This window comes from Homo sapiens, chromosome 7 (genome assembly GCF_000001405.40).
Source record: "Homo sapiens chromosome 7, GRCh38.p14 Primary Assembly".
In the NCBI taxonomy this organism is placed as follows: domain Eukaryota; kingdom Metazoa; phylum Chordata; class Mammalia; order Primates; family Hominidae; genus Homo; species Homo sapiens.
The window spans coordinates 105242985-105260244 of record NC_000007.14 but is presented as its reverse complement, the minus strand read 5'-3'; the positions used below and the strand labels follow the sequence as shown (position 1 = coordinate 105260244).

Sequence of the window (17260 nt, the reverse complement as noted above, 5' to 3'; positions counted from 1 at the left end):
TTGAGAAGTGTCTGTTCATATCCTTTGCCCACTTTTTGATGGGGTTGTTTTTTTCTTGTAAATTGGTTTAAGTTCTTGGTAGATTCTGGATATTAGCCCTTTGTCAGATGGGTAGATTGTAAAAATTTTCTCCCATTCTGTAGGTTGCCTTTTCACTCTGATGATAGTTTCTTTTGCTGTGCAGAAGCTCTTTAGTTTAATTAGATCCCATTTGTCTATTTTGACTTTTGTTGCCATTGCTTTTGGTGTTTTAGTCGTGAAGTCTTTGCCCATGCCTGTGTCCTGAATGGTATTGCCTAGGTTTTCTTCTAGGGTTTTTATGGTGTTAGGTCCTACATTTAAGTCTTTCATCCATCTTGAGTTAATTTTTGTATATGGTGTAGGGAAGGGATCCAGTTTCAGCTTTCTACATATGGCTAGCCAGTTTTCCCAGCACCATTTATTAAATAGGGAATGCTTTCCCCATTGCTTGTTTTTGTCAGGTTTGTCAAAGATTAGATGGTTGTAGATGTGTGGTGGTATTTCTGAGGCCTCTGTTCTGTTCCATTGGTCTATATCTCAGTTTTGGTACCAGTACCATGCTGTTTTGGTTACTGTAGCCTTGTAGTATAGTTTGAAGTCAGGTAGTGTGATGCCTCCAGCTTTGTTCTTTTTGCTTAGGATTTTCTTGGCAATGCAGGCTCTTTTTTGGTTCCATATGAACTTTAAAGTAGTTTTTTTCCCAATACTGTGAAGAAAGTCATTGGTAGCTTGATGGGGATGGCATTGAATCTGTAAATTACCTTAGGCCGTGTGGCCATTTTCACGATATTGATTCTTCCTATCCATGAATATGGAATGTTTTTTCCATTTGTTGGTGTCCTCTTTTATTTCATTCAGCAGTGATTTGTAGTCTCCTTGAAGAGGTCCTTCACATCCCTTGTAAGTTGGATTCCTAGGTATTTTATTCTCTCTGAAGCAATTGTGAATGGGAGTTCACTCATGATTTGGCTCTCTGTTTGTTATTGGTGTATAGGAATGCTTGTGATTTTTGCACATTGATTTTGTATCCTGAGACTTTGCTGAAGTTGCTTATCAGCTTAAGGAGATTTTGGGCTGAGATGATAGGGTTTTGTAAATATACAATCATGTCATCTGCAAACAGAGACAATTTGACTTCCTCTTTTCCTAATTGAATACCCTTTATTTCCTTTTCCTGCCTGACTGCCCTGGCCAGAACTTCCAACACTATGTTGAATAGGAGTGGTGAGAGAGGGCATCCCTGTCTTGTGCCAGTTTTCAAAGGGAATGCTTCCAGTTTTTGTCCATTCAGTATGATATTGGCTGTGGGTTTGTCATAAATAACTCCTATTACTTTGAGATAGGTTCCATCAATACCTAGTTTACTGAGCGTTTTTAGCATGAAGGGCTGTTGAATTTTGTTGAAGGCCTTTTCTGCATCTATCGAGATAATCATGTGGTTTTTGTTGTTGGTTCTGTTTTTATGTGATGGATTACGTTTGTTGATTTGTGTATGTTGAACCAGCCTTGCATCCCAGGGGTGAAGCCAAGTTGATTGTGGTGGATAAGCTTTTTGATGTGCTGCTGGATTCAGTTTGCCAGTATTTTACTGAGGATTTTCGCATCAGTGTTCATCGTGGATATTGGCCTAAAATACTCTTTTTTTGTTGTGTCTCTACGAGGCTTTGGTATCAGGATGATGCTGGACTGATAAAACATAGTCATTTACATCCCAAATATTAGTATTTTGTGTATCACCTTGGTGTTTTTTTGTCACATTTGCACTCCACACTGTGCTTTTTTTCTTTCTTTTTTTTTTTTTTTTTTGAGACCGAGTTTCGCTCTTGTTACCCAGGTTGGAGTGCAATGGCATGATCTCGGCTCACTATTACCTCTGCCTCCCGGGTTCAAGCAATTCTCCTGTCTCAGCCTCCCGAGTAGCTGAGATTACAGGTGCATGCCACCACGCCTGGCTGATTTTTGTATTTTTAGTAGAGATGGGGCTTCATCATATTGGTCAGGCTGGTGTAGGACTCTGGACCTCGTGATCCGCCTGCCTCGGCCTCCCGAAGTGCTGGGATTACAGGCGTGATCCACCGCACCTGGCCTCATATCATGCTTTCCTTTTTTTTTTGTTTTTGGAGATGGAGTCTTGCTCTGTCACCCAGGATGGAGTGCAGTGGCACGATCTCGGCTCACTGCAACTGTCTCCTAGGTTCAAGCAATTATCCTGCCTCCCCCTCCAGAGTAGGTGGGACTACAGGCGCGTGCCACCACGCCTGGCTAACTTTTTGTATTTTTAGTAGAGACGGGGTTTCACTGTGTTAGGGTGGTCTCAGTCTCCTGACCTCTTGCTCTGCCTGCCTCGGACTCCCAATGTGCTGGGTTTACAGGTGTGAGCCACTGCACCCGGCCATTCTTTTTTATTTTTAAATTTCTTAAAATAAATGTAAAACCTTTTAATGCTTTTTAAAGCTTAATTTTCTTTAAAAAGGAATCTTTGTGTCTCCACCAGCAATAGAGAACCTGTATTGTTTGCCTTAAAAAAAAAAATGACTGTTAAACCCTGTCTAGATTCTGTTGTCTGATAAAGGCTCCAAGCCTGAGCCATATGCTCTCTGTGTTTACAAGGGAAGTTAAATTTGCAGGTGTCATAAAGGGACATAAATATGTGTTAGCACCAAAGTGAGAGTTGTTCTCATACACCCAGACAGATTGAAAGAACCTCGGAAAAGGAATAACTTCCTCAGTATTTGATTCAGTGTAATTCAATACCAGGTTTCAAGTATCACCTAAGATAATTTTGCATGTCAGCAGTGGCACTTCCTCTTCTCTTTGGGATCCTCTTCTGCTCCAGCAATGTAGATTATGATGAATTTATCAGGGAGGTTCTGAACAAATGTGAGCAGCTATTATAATAACAATAGCAACAATAAAAACTCTACTTTCAACAGTCATAGTGCAGATTCCTTTTGTAACAATCTTTTATGTACTGGGGCTGGAAGAAATTAAGACTAATTTTAGTAGATTTTATTTGTTATCCATCCACCCAGCATTTTTTTCAGCAGCTGCTATGCACTAGCCACTTAGTGATTTGGAAATCAGGGAGCCACAAAGCCAGCACAGAAATGTAGGTTTTGTACAGAATATCAGTGTACAAACCTTGCATGGAAGACACATTCGTGGGTGGCTGGCCCCTGGCATAATTTGTTCTGTTTCTTGGACATGCAGTGCTAAGTACTCTAATGGACAACACTACAGTGAGTAGCTTTTGGCACTCCTTAGAAAGAATTGCACATAACTAATAATTGCACTTCTGGGAAACTTACTTTAAAAGATGAGTGGTATGGTAAAGAGGTTACAAACACAGTTGCTTACCAAGAGTATGTCCAATGAGTGGCTACAGCCAGGTGGGGAGCACAGAAACTGGAGATGATGACACCATCTAGATGTGGGTGCTGATCGGCTCTCTTGCTGATTGCTGCCGTGTAGAAATACCGGGCAAGTTTTGCCTGCTCTTGTGATTTTTTTTACGAGTTGAACATTTGGATTTTTATGTCAAATCTCTTCATTTTAAATGCTTGTGTGGCTGAGCACAGTGGCTCATTCCTGTAATCCAAGTGCTTTGGGAGACCAGAGTGGGAGGATTGCTTGAGGCCAGGAGTTCAAAACCAACCCATGCAACATACCAAGACCCCCGTCTCTACAAAATAATTTAAAAATAAGTTGGGCATGGTGATGTGTACCTGTAGTCCCAACAATTCAGGAGGCTGCGGTGAGAGGATCTCTTGAGCCTGGGAGTTTGAGGTTACAGTGAGCTGTGATCGCACCATTGCACTCCAGCCTGGGTGACAGAGTGAGACTCTGTCTCTAAAAATACATACATACGTACGTACATACATACATAATGGTGCAAGTTAGAAACAAAACAGTAACTCAAAACAGCCTTAACAATAAGAGTATCTCCTCTTCAGATTCAGCCTATGGTAAATATTTTTCTTCTGTGCTATAGCACATTGATTCTCAATTTGTGAGCCACAGACTTGTGCAGACTTATTGTAGGGGATTTTTAAATACTGTGATTACTAAGCATTAGCTGTAGATTGAAATAATGGAAGTAAAATTATCTTGATGCTCACAGGTGTGTCTCTGGATTTTTCTGACATTTGAGGCATGCCAAACACTGCAGATCACTGCTCTAATAGCCATACTAAAATAACAGTACAAAATTCAATAAGGTATTAACTGTATGTAATAGGAAGAGCCCTGACAGATGTGCATTTTTCTTGTTCTCGCTCTCTCTCTTTTTTTTTTTTTCAATTTGAGATGGACTCACACTATCGCCCAGGCTGGAGTGCAATCTTGACTCATTGCAACCTCTGCCTCCCAGGTTCAAGCAAGTCTCCTGCCTCAACCTCCTGAGTAGCTGGGATTACAGGTGCCCACCAGCACGTCCAGCTAATTTTTGTATTTTTAGTAGAGAAAGGGTTTCACCATGTTGGCCAGGCTGGTCTTGAACTCCTGACCTCAGGTGATCTGCCCGCCTCAGCCTCCCAAAGTGCTGGGATTACAGGCAAGAGTCACTGTGCCTGGCCTAGATGTGCGTTTCTCAACTTGGATATCATTGATTTGTTCTGTAAATATTTATGTACCCACTATGGTAGAACTTAAGCTTTATAAATAATCTGAAAATGGTGGAGGTAGAAAAATGTTCTGTTTTCAAAACTGCCACCTCATTATTCCCCGCCTTTCCCTTTTCCTTCTTTTCCATCTGTCTTTTCCTCCCTTCACCTACCCTCCCCCCAGGAAATATATTGAGACTAGTTTGATAACTACCTATAATGCAGTAGAAAAAAGGGGGTCAGAGAAAATGCAGATCACAGTAGAAGGTTATGATGGAGGATAGTCAGATGCACACGCAGATACGGGTATTTGCTGTGCAACTAGTAAAGGTGACTAACAAAATTGGCTTTAAGCTTCTTGACAGCCATACTAAGGAAATAATTAACATTGCTCTTTTCATCTGTAAGGAGAAACAATATTAGTTTCCCCGGTAGAACCAAACCTTTTCCTCTAACTTAATTATCATTTTAGCATAACTTTTTTTCTACATATCTTAAATGCTTATTTATTTTAGAAATTTCAGATAAAATGATGATAAGGCACTGAGCTGTTAATCATTAAAGTTCAGTCACCATGATTAATTTTTTCTGGCCAATTTTTTGTTTTAGTCTAAGATCTATAAAAAGCAGATGGGCCAGATGCAGTGGCTCATGCCTGTAATCCCAGCACTTTGGGAGGCCGAGGCGGGTGGATCATCTGAGGTCAGGAGTTCAAGACCAGCCTGGCCAACATGGTGAAACCCCATCTCTACTAAAAATACAAAAATTAGCTGGGTGTGGTGGTGTACACCTGTAATCCCAGCTCCTCAGGAGGCTGAGGCAGGAGAATTGTTTGAACACAGTAGGCAAAGGCTACAGCGAGCCAAGACCACACCACTGCACTCCAGCCTGGGTGACGGGGCGAGACTCTGTCTCAAAACAACAACAACAATAACAACAACAACAACAAAAAAAAAACAAGCAGATGTACTTCAACGATAACATCATCACCAACCGTACAATCCAGTATCATACTGAGAAATGATTTTCAAACTGGCATTTTATACTTAACATATGCAAATTTTCTTATGTTATTAAATAATCATCTGTAGTATCATTTATAAAGGTTGCATAGAACTGAGTTCATGATATGGATGGATGTACATAATTTTATTGATTGAGTCTTAGAAATGGAATCACTTGTGAAGCCAATTTGTAAGGCTCTTTATAAAGGAGTGTTTGTTTTTCAGAAAGATACATCTTTACGTTGTCATTGGCAGTGTATAAGAGAACCTTTTAACTTACACCCTCACTTGAAATTCTCAAAACAGCCTCTTTCTGAATGTCGTATAGATGACATTGAAGAATATTCCAGATAGTGTTGACTTACTAGTCTCTGTTCTTTAGGTCTTTACTCTAGTAAAAGTTAAGTATTATTGTGGTACTTTCTGTGTTAATTGGGTGTGGGTAAGTCAAAGATCAGTACAATCAGCTGTAACGAGGTAAAAGATTCATCAATAGATTCTTATATTCAGTCAAGCATTTACGAAACAGCTAAATGAGCCATTGATGTTAGCAGTTAAGTGACATAGTCACTGAGAAAATTTGGGTATTCTATTTATGCTAATGAATCTAAATTTTGTAAGGATTTCAAGAAGTTATGTGATTCAAGCCTCTCACTCTAAACAGGTGACAAAACATTCAACACAGATGGCTGGCTTGTTTTTTTTTGTTTGTTTGTTTTTTTTTAAAATAAAGATGTACAGGAATTAAGATTCTCTAACCTTACCTTTTCAACCATGGCCTCATGATTGGTTGCTCAATATATTTTCAATGACTTAATTTTGTTGCACTACAATAAAATTACTACTTAATTTTGTTCCCCTTCTAAGACAGTTCTAAAATGTAATCACCTTTTTGGTCAAGACCTTTTCATTTTTCTTTCTGGAATTTGAATTACTTTTGTGGGGGACAGGGGCGTGCTCTCTGTGTAGTCTCAGGACGGCTTGGATCTAGTCTAAATAGTATTCCAGGAAACAGCATCTGAGAAATCAGGGTGAAATGAAACATTGTGGCACCATCTTGAAACTCTAAATACTTGCATAAGCGGGAAAAGAGATGGAGGAGAGGATGGGAAAATAGATGAGAGGGGTATATAGTGACCAGGTGGCAAAGAAAGGTCTTTGAATTTTATGCTGATGTTTACCAAGAGCCATTGAAAGGTTTTAGCAAGGATGTTTGTAGATAATACATGCACATTTTCCTGTGGGCATGAAGTAAGGTCTTTTAAAGAAAGTCTAAAGAAATATATTTTTCCCCCTAGCATGGAAGGCTATAAGATATGCTGTAGACTTTGCAGCAAGATATTATTCATCTGTTCTGGAAATTGGTGGGAATATTATGGCAGCATTTACAATGAGTGACAGAGAGTGGATGAATTCCTTGACACTGGGGGTATTAAACATCGAAATGGAGTACCATAGTTAGAGGTGCTTCTTTCTAAAGACAGGTGATTGACCTGTTAAGTCTTACGTATTTTTTTCCTAGGTTTTACGCAGTTAATTATGATTAAAGAAATCCTAACTTAAAGATACTAACTTGGGTCGGGCGCGGTGGCTCACGCCTGTAATCCCAGGACTTTGGGAGGCTGAGGCGGGCAGATCCCCTGAGGTCAGGAGTTTGAGACCAGCCTGGCCAACATGATGAAACCTTGTCTCTACTAAAAATGCAAGAATTAGCCAGACGTGGGGTGCGTGCCTATAGTCCCACTTTCTCGGGAGGCTGAGGCATGAGAATTTCTTGAACCTGGGAGACAGGAGGTTGCAGTGAGCTGAGATCACACTACTGGGCTCCAGCCTGGGCAACAGAGGGAGACTCTGTCTCAAAAAAAAAAAAAGAAAAAAAAAAGAAAAGAAAGATGATAATTGGAATGTTTCACTAATCATTTTGTTGCAGAAATTCTTACTCAATGGATATATAAAGTATCATTTCTATAAATTGTTTAAAATACTTAGGCCAGTGCTGCCTAAGTGGAATTTCTGGGCAGTCTGTCTTCCACTGATGGAAGATAGTATAATATCAGTAAAACCTATGAGCATTTTAAATGTGGCTAATATGATTGAAGGATTAAATTTTTAATTTTACCTAATTTTAAAATTCAAAAACCACTCAACTTTTTCTTTTCAGATGAGAACGCCAGTGAACTGTTATTTTAACCTTTCTTTTTAAATTTAGAAATGAAGATTGTTTCCTTTATTGTTCTTTAGTTCCTAAATGAATATTGCTTCCTTTTGCCCTTTGTTTCCTAAGCTCCACCCTACTCTGTTTTTGTTTTTTTAAAATTCTTTTGCCCTTTCTATCCTGACAGTATTATATTTTACAGGCAAGAGTTTATTTCCTTCATTGTAACTCAAATTAGTAATTTAAAGGAAACTGCACTCAGTTATTTGTCCTTGTATAAAGTTATTTTGAGCATTTTTTATTTTAAGGAGCTGCTTAATTTTCTGTCATCATTTAAGGAGAAAAATATTCAGTTATCTGCCATCATATTACTTGCCTGGTGTTATATCCTCTTTTTAATGTTCTACTAACATAAAACAGTTTTAAAGTAAAAGGAGTGTAGTTTCTTAAATGTTCAGTTTTAAAGGGAAAGATAAATTAATATAGACGAACTCTGTGTTGTCTGATAAAAGAGATAAAGGTCAGTAGAGAAATTATGGTTTATGATGGTAGTCAGCTCCTTCTTCCCCCTCAAGCCACGACACTGAATTTAGCCTCAGTTTGTTGTTGCCATTCAGTCTAGCTAGAGCTTACAAAAAATACAAAACCCCCAAATTTGGATTCAAATTTCAATTCTTGTACCCATCACCAGACACACCCCCACATGGTGATTACTAATGATTATTAAAATACTCTTTGGGCCCAGTATGCAAAAAGGACATCTTTTTCCTGAGACCAGCACAATCTTTAGCCTGTAGGAGAAGCCTCTGTTTAATGCAGAGCTGTGGAAGGTTTACAATTAAATGATGGTAGGTGTTATTATATTCATTTATTGAAAAGGAAGCCTTGTGGGATTAAGCTTAGAGGAAAGAATTTTTGTTGTTGCTGTTCAGCCCAGTCTTTTTCATAAAAAATGCTTGTGGCAGGGTACAGTGGCTCACACCAGTAATCCCAGCACTTTGGGAGGCCAAGGCAGGAGCATAGCTTGACCCCAGGAGTTCAAGACCAGCCTGGGTAACATAGTGAGACCCTGTCTCTAAAAAAAGAAAAGAAAAAAGCTTGCCTCCTTTCTTACTGAGTATTCATCAGTTATAATTTGACAGTCTGTGTTTGAATAAATGAAAGACTTCTCTAGAGGAACCCTTGGGTGCCTGTGATATAAGAAACACCAGATCTTTTACATGTGACCTTTGCCTCAGTTTAGGGCTGTCAGTTTTTTGGGGTGCCTTTTGTTGAAGGAAAAGGTGTATTGATGTATTTATTGCTATGGCGTTGTCCTGTTATAGTTACTTCATTTCAACATAGATGTAAGTATTTATTTCAAAGTACACAAATGAAGAAATTGTGTTTGGGTGTAATGAGTTGTGCAGTGTCCATTTCATCCTCATTTCATTCCTCCACTGCCACGTACCCCTGAGTAGCTTCTGTTGCTGTTGCTGCCCTAATATCAGCCATGTTCCTAGTGGCAGCTTAGGCTCTGCTTGGCAGTACCTCTAGCTCCTGAAGAAAAACAAAGTTATTATCCCTTGCCTCCCCAGAGTTGCTAGAAAAGATTTAACAGCTGGTGAAAAAAATGGAGCTGATTATCATAGTAGTTAAGCGGTTCATCTACTTGTTTAATGGAATTACAGGTTTTATGGGGACCACTAAAGGTTTTCCGATTCTTTGGACCAGATATTCATGATGAATTTGGAGAAGAGCTTTTAGATCAGTACAAGTCAAGCATTTTCCAAAAAATATTCTTCCAATTTAAATGTTTTTAAAGTAGATCTACTGAAGTTAACTTTTTCTAAGAACAAGGCTCCATTTAGTTCCTTGGTGTGATTTGGTACATTTTGTAATTTCGAACTTAAAAATCCCTATTAGGAGTCAGTGGCCTAGTGTTTTGCATGCATGTAAGGGAAAACCTGTATATCTCCAAATGTGAAATTACAGTGACTGATGACATACTTCTGTAAATCCAACACAGCCAACTTTTGTCCAGTGATGCAACACATCAGGTTTTTGTTTTTTTTTTCTTGCATTGTTTGCATGTAAGGGCATGTGGTACAAAGTATGTTTGTTTGTTTGTTTGTTTGTTTGTTTAGACAGAGTTTTGCTCCCGTTGCCCAGGCTGGAGTGTAATGGCACCATCTCGGCTCACTGCAACCTCCCCTCCGCCTCCTGGGTTCAAGTGATTCTCCTGCCTCAGCCTCCTGAGTAGCTGGGAGGGATTACAGGTGCCTGCCACCATGTCTGGCTAATTTTTTGTATTTTTAGTAGAGTCAGGGTTTCACCATGTTGGCCAGGCTGGTCTTGACTCCTGACCTTAGGTGATCCACCTCCCTCGGACTCCCATAGGGCTGAGATTATAGGCGTGAGCCACTGTGCCTGGCCAAAGTAGCCACGACTTTTTAACAGTAGAATAACGCTTAGCTCAGTGAAATGGTCATGCTTTGAGAGGCACATGGGCAACAAGAGCTCATATGAGAAAAATATTTACATATCATATGTCATCCTCATTCTAGGTCATATGCGTAAGAATAGATTATTAGGAGGAATCTCCACATTTGAGAATTACTATTTTTTTTAACTTTAGTATAGTTGAGGTTTTGGAAGTTAAAAGTTCATTTATGAATGATGTAGCATTTTAATATTTTTTATTTGCTATTCAAAAGCATTTAACTATTATTGCTTGATTTTGACCAGACATATATAGGATGATGAATGGAATGAAAAAGCATGATAGCAAGAAAAGAACATGGAAGTCTGGGTCATCTTACACCCTTGTTTTATACATTAGATAGAAAAACTGATGCCCAAAATGGTGAATTGATACAACTCAGGTTCTAGATGGGATTCTTATAAACTGATAACTTCCAGTATTTGAAATTCAGGCATTTAGAGTCTGGGAACTTAGTACAAAGGAATTTGACCAGTTTTTTTTTTTCTGTTCTTTAAGAAAACCAAGAATGATTATTTTAAATTATACTAGTACTGTTCTTCTAGCTGTGTCCTAGCCAGGGAAGAAATAACTTAAATGCCTTTCATTTTACAGAGCATTTTCCTGTTCACTATTTAGTTCTTTAAAAAAATCCTTGTTGATAAGTAATGTAGATGGCTTTATTCTCACTTTGTAGATTAAAAAAACCAGTAAGTGTATGACTTAAGAATGTCACATACCAGTTAATATTAGAGATGCTCTAAAAGCTATGTTTTGGAGCTCCAAACCCCTATGCCTCAGAGTATAATATCTGAACAACAAAGATGTCCATTGTTTATATGTACAAGGTGGCCCGCATCAGGCTGCAGATGTGTGAAACAGGATGTGCTCTTCATGTCTTTTCTCCAGTCACTTCCATTTATATGCCTCAAGAAGGCTGAGAGACGAGGTGTGATGTCCTTGGTCATCAAATAGAACAGACACAACTAGCACACGTGGACAGAATTGACAGTTTTGTTATTTTCCACCCTCTCCTAGACCAGCCTGGTTTAACCTTTGAATTTTTTTTTTTTTTTTGAGATGGAGCTTCGGTCTGTCACCCAGGCTGGAGTGCAGTGGCACGATCTCGGCTCATTGCAAGCTCTGCCTCCCGGGTTCACGCCGTTCTCCTGCCTCAGCCCAGGCGCCCAACACCACACCCGGCTAATTTTTTTTTGTATTTTTTAGTAGAGACGGGGTTTCACCGTGTTAGCTAGGATGGTCTCAATCTCCTGACCTCGTGATCTGCCTGCCTCGGGCCTCCTAAAGTGCTGGGATTACAGGCGTGAGCCATCGCGCCCGGACTAACCTTTGAATTTTTAGTTTCAAATCTTTTTTGTTTGTTTATTTGTTTTTTGTTAAGAGGTAGGGTCTTGCTCTGTTACCAGGCTGGAGTGTAGTGGTATGATCATAGCTCACTGCAGCCTCAACCCTGGAGCTCAAATGATTCTCCCACAACAGCCTCCCAAGTAGCTGAGACTATAGGTGCACACCACCATGCCTGACTTTTTTTTTTTTTTTTTTTTTAAATTTTTTGTAAAGATGGCATCTCGCTGTGTTGCTCAGTCTACTCTCAGATTCCTGGACTTAAACAATCTTGTTTCCTCATCCTCTGAAAGTATTGGAATTAAGTACTTGTGCCACCACCCCTAATCCAGTTCTTTTCTATCTGAAGAGAACTGTGTGATTTCTTAGGCTAGGATACTGGTGTTTAAATATAAATGTGATTCTGACTTTTTAGGACTATAAAATTTGCTTCCTTTAAGTAGTACCAACCTTTTCCGGAGATGATTTAAAAGATTGTTAAGGCCGACTGGGCGCAGTGGCTCACGCCTGTAATCCCAGCAGTTTGGGAGGCCGAGGCGGGCAGATCACCTGAGGTTGGTAGTTCGAGACCAGCCTGACCAGCATGGAGAAACCCCTCTCTACTAAAAATACAGAATTAATCGGGTGTGGTGGTGCATGCCTGTAATCCCAGCTACTCGAGAGGCTGAGGCAGGAGATTCGCTTGAACCCGGGAGGTGGAGGTTGCACCATTGCACTCCAGCCTGGGCACCAAGAGTGAAACTCTGTCTCAAAAAAAAAAAAAAAAGATTGTTAAGGCCAAGCATGACAGCTCATGCCCTATAATCCCAGTACTTTGGGAGTCACAAGGCAAGAGGATCACTTAAGCCCAGGAGTTCAAAACCAGCCTGGGCAACATAGTGAGGTACCATCTCTATAAAAATAAAAAACTTTTTTTTAAAAAAAATAGGTGGTTAATACAGTCAATTAAAATACCAAGAATTAAACTTCTTCTTTTTAGTGATGCATTTTGTTAGGTACCATTTAATTGTCATATTTTGTTCAGTTAATAGTTAAAAACTTTGAACAATTAAAAACCAAGAAAAGGTATAACTTCTGTGTGTGTGTGTGTGTGTGTGTGTGTGTGTTTATGTGTGTGTGTGTTTTTTGGTATGTATGGCACTCCGGTGTTATTTGTAGTTGTGTAGGCATTATTGGCACTTTGATCATCAGTGATGTACTTAAAGGACATCGTCATTTACTCACCTTCTCTTCCCCTCTTCCTCACCATTAACGACCTCACTTCAAGCACGCTTTCAGTTAGTCCTCATAACAATATTATTAATCATCTGTATTTTACAGACGAAAAAGTGAGGCTGTGAGATAACTTACCCAAGCCACAGAACCGATCATTTTTTGAATTGTCTCTTTTACAACACAGAGTTTATGAGGACTTAGTTAGTATATAGAGAAAAATGGTTAATAGCTGGAGAAAAGACCTTGGAGATGATAAATGTAAGAAAGTTTGTTACTATGTGGCCTTGTGCAGTCGTTAAAAAGCCCATGGAAGCATGGTTTGGATTTCTAGGTCACATGGTACCGCAAGTACCAGGGCCCTCAAGTTTTCTCTACAGAAGACTGAATGTGAATGCCCTTAGGAGGCACAGGCCCACTCCAGTAGAACTAGGACCCAGCATTTACTGTCTGAATCTTAGTGCTTCTCACTCACCTGCCTGGCTCTTGGAAGAATTTGAGCTATGAGCTGTTCACAAAAAGGGAAAAGCTTCCTTTATTGGGAAATGTCACTTAAGTGGAATCCATTTCTCTCTGACAGTTCAGGGAAAGTGAAAGATTGCTGTCACTAACTGCTGGCAACTTACTGAAATTGTTAAAATTTATAGTTGATTGTCTTCAGTACTCCAATACTTCAGTATTTGGCACTGAAAAAAAATATATATGCTTTAATAGAAAAGGTTTCTGTCTTTGATTAGTGAAGAAGTAGATAGAAGTTGAACCCAAAGCAGTACCTCTCAGTTTCTTTGTTGGTTTTATCTAAATGTTGGCCCTTCCTCAGTGTCACTGTCGTAGGTCTGTTGCTCTTCTCATCTGCATTCTCTTTGAAAATGATCGCATCTGTTTCCATGGTGTTAATACCATTTGTGGGCTGGTGACTACCACATTTATATCTGTAGCTCTGTATTCTGAGCCACAGATCTATATGTCCAGCTGTCTACTTTACATCACTACCTAAATGTCTGTCGACATCTCAAATATAACTGGCCCTAAACCAAACTCATTATCTTGTCTAATCTTTCCTGACCGTAATGAAAGATAGATCATATGGCCTGTGCTTCATTCAGTTTTCTTTCTTGTAAAATGTTGCAGGGTGAGGGGGAGGGAATAAATATTCCTTTTGGTTTATGGCTGTCCTTAGGGGCTCTGGGGTCGGTGACAGAAATTACTCTGTGTGTAACTTTCTGTCTGTGTTTAAATGAACATCATAAATATCTTTGAAAGAAAGTAGAAGGCAACAAGAAATTTTGTAAGGTCTATGTAAGAATAGAATTAAGTTCCCTAATCTTACTCTAGCAAATAGTAAGGATTTTTGCCGATGTAACCTTCCAGCTTTTCTTTTTGCAGCAGCTGCTAGAGCCATTATCCTCTCTCTGCCAGGCTTCCTACTCATGCTAGTTGTTAATTGCCAGGGTCTACAACAGTGGGGCCCACAGGCTTTATCCTGCCTCGCGGTGACCTAACATTTTGTCACTCTGCTATTTAATTTTTAAAAGTGTCTCCAGCTGGGTGCGATGATGTGTGCCTGTAGTTGTGGCTACTCTGGCAGCTGAGGTGGGAGGATCACTTGAGCCCAGGAGTTCAAGGCCATAGTGCATGAAGATTGTGCCTGTGAATAACCACCGCACTCTAGCCTGGGCAACAGAGAGAACTTGTCTCTTGAGGGGAAAAAAAGTGTTTTCTAAATGCAGAAGCCCGAGTTACTTTATCTCCTCATTTTCCCCCGTAGTCTGTATCTAGTTGGTCACTAGATCCTACCGGTTTCTTTGCAGGAGTCCTCTCCAAATGCTTCCGTCAAAACTCGCTGTACTGCTTTCATCTGTCATTCCTCATTTGCCCTCAAATATTGTTCACTAGCCTCTCTTCCTGTTCCTCCGCCCTTTGCATCATCCCCAGAATTATATTCCTAAAAGAGACTCATTAATATAGCTTAAAACAGGTCGTTCACAGTCTGGTGGTCCTCTTTATCTAAAGTCCTCACTGATCCTGCCATTTCTGGCTCTTTTACCCTTCTTATCTTCATAATGTGTACTTCCCTCTGCCTGGACCTCACTGAGAAGATGCCATGTCCCCTGCACGCTGCCCTTACCATCCCACTGCAGAGGGTCCTGCTGCCTCCTAGAGCACCATCTAGACCTTTGTACTGAGACTCAGTGCTTCTCACTCCACTAGCTCGAGACGCAAGGAGCTTTAACTGTCTCATGTTCACGTTTCTGGTGCCTAGCACGTTCTTTGGCCTATAGACACAAATTTTATTTGAATAAAGATTTTTATTTCTTTCCCACTTGGTTAGGAAATACTAAGAAAAAGAGGTGTGTGTGTGTGTGTGTGTGTGTGTGTGTGTGTGTGTGTTTGTTTTGTTTTGTTTTTCCTCTCAAGCTGTTCTTTATTTCAGGGAGAGGGCAGGGAAGGGGGCTCAGTCTTTCTTGGCAGCGGCTTTCCTCATGGCGGCCAGGACGTTGCTTTGCTCCTCCCGCTTCCTCTTGGCGCGGATGTGCGCCCACACCCTTTTCTTGATGAACTTGAGGACCCGTTTGTCTTTGGAGACCTTTCAGTAACTCCTTGGCGTGCTGCTTGTACGGGGCGAAGCCACATGCCTCCGGGATCATGTCCCGCACAAACTTGGTGTGTTTGGTCAGACGCCCGCGGCGGCGGCTGTGCCTGGGCTCGCTCACGTTCTTGGTCACCTTTTGGCCCTTGTTGAGGCCCACGGCCATAGGGTAGCGCAGAGCCAGGGCTGCTGCTCTCCAAAGGCGGCCCTGGCGCGCTGGGGCTGGCGCCGCGTGGAACTCTGGGATTTTTTTATTGTTGTTGAGACGGAGTCTCGTTCTGTCGCCCAGGCGGGAGTGCAGTGGCACGATCTTAGCTCACTGCAAGCTCCGCCTCCCGGGTTCAAGCGATTCTCCCGCCTCAGCTTCCCGAGTAGCTGGGATTACAGGCGCGCGCCTGGTACCATGTGCAGCTAATTTTTGTATTTTTAGTAGACACAGGGTTTCACCATGTTGGCCAGGCTGGTATTGAATTCCTGACCTCAGATGATCCACCAGCCTCGGCCTCCCAAAGTGCTGGGATTACAGGCGTGAGCCACCGCGCCCGGCCCTGTATTTTTTAATAGGAAATATTGGACAGTATCTTTTTGTTTTACTGCCTTCTGAACAGCCTTGCAAATGTTTCTTTTTATAGCGGTTTTACCCCAACTTCTCTGTGTTCTCATGGACTCAGTGGGGTCTCCACCTACTACAGTGGTTTTGGTTGGCCTGGAAAAGCCTCCTGACCAGCGGACGGGACTTGGGCCCTCTACCCCTGCCAGCTCTTCAGCCCTCGTGGGGCTTCTTTATGGCAGCTCTTTCCTTCTAGAAGTTCCCACTCAATGTTTGAAATACCCACAAGTTCTGAACCTTGGAGGCACACTCATCTTATTAATGGCAGAGTTGGGACTCCAACTCAGTTACCTTGGCTGTTTCTCTTCCATTTTATTGATGGCAGCAGCCAGAATTCCCGACAAAGGTCTCTGGATTGGACTGGTAAATTTTGTTCATTCCACTTCTCACGTGTGAATTTAGGTAATCTGCTGAGCTGCAGATTCTTATTGTGTTATGGTTTAGAGATAATAACATCTTTGTAACTGAAATTAAAATTTTTTTTTGTCTTGCTGCAAATTCAGTCTATTGTAATTCTCAAGTTTCTTCACAGCCCTAAATTTACCGTTCGTTATTTGAGATTGCTTGGCATGTGGTTTTTTTTTTTTTTTTTTTTGAGATGGAGTCTCTCTCTGTTACCCAGACTGGAGTGCAATGGTGCGGTCTTGGCTCACTGCAGCCTCCACCTCCTGGGTTCAAGGCATGCACTACCACGCCCGGCTAATTTGTGTATTTTTAGTAGAGAGAGGGTTTCACCATGTCGGCCAGACTAGTCTTGAACTCCTGACCTCAGGTGATCTGTCTGCATTGTCCTCCCAAAGTGTTGGGATTACAAATGACTTTAGGATTTTAATTGTAATCTTGCCACCTTTGATCCTATCTCAGGCTCCTCAACTGTGAAGTGTCATCATCTAGATTTAGAGAATTAAGATTAGAATGTAGGCGGGGTGCATTGGCTCACATGGAAGTAATCCCTGCACTTTGGGAGGCTGATGGGGAAGGATTGCTTGAAGCCAGGAGTTTAAGACAAGCCTGGGGAACATAGGGATTCCCCTTATCTACCCAGATAATAAAAGAAAAAGGAGCTGGGATGGTAGCGGGCCTGGAGTCCCAGCTACTCTGGAGGCTGAGGTGAGAGGATCACTTGAGGCCAGGAGTTGGAGTCTACGGTGAGTTAGTGTACCCCAGCCTGAGTGACAGAGTGAGACCGTGTCTCTAAAAAGGAAGAAGAAGAATAAAAAACGATTAGAATGTTAAGATAT

The 17260-nt window shown here is 41.0% G+C and overlaps 1 protein-coding gene and 1 pseudogene across 34 annotated transcripts in view, besides 1 other annotated feature; one reads left to right on the top strand and one right to left on the bottom strand.

Annotated features, from left to right (window-relative positions):
• Window positions 1-17260, top strand: part of SRPK2 (SRSF protein kinase 2) — a 284618-nt gene that overhangs the window by 139113 nt on the left and 128245 nt on the right. The window lies entirely within an intron of this gene.
• Window positions 15051-15591: an enhancer, noted in NCBI's record as "H3K27ac-H3K4me1 hESC enhancer chr7:104885101-104885641 (GRCh37/hg19 assembly coordinates)". NCBI's record gives its function as "activates a minimal SCP1, AML or CMV promoter by ChIP-STARR-seq in primed H9 embryonic stem cells {active_cell/tissue: H9 hESC(primed)}" and the evidence as "EXISTENCE:reporter gene assay evidence [ECO:0000049][PMID:30033119]".
• Window positions 15230-15623, bottom strand: RPL36P12 (ribosomal protein L36 pseudogene 12; annotated as a pseudogene).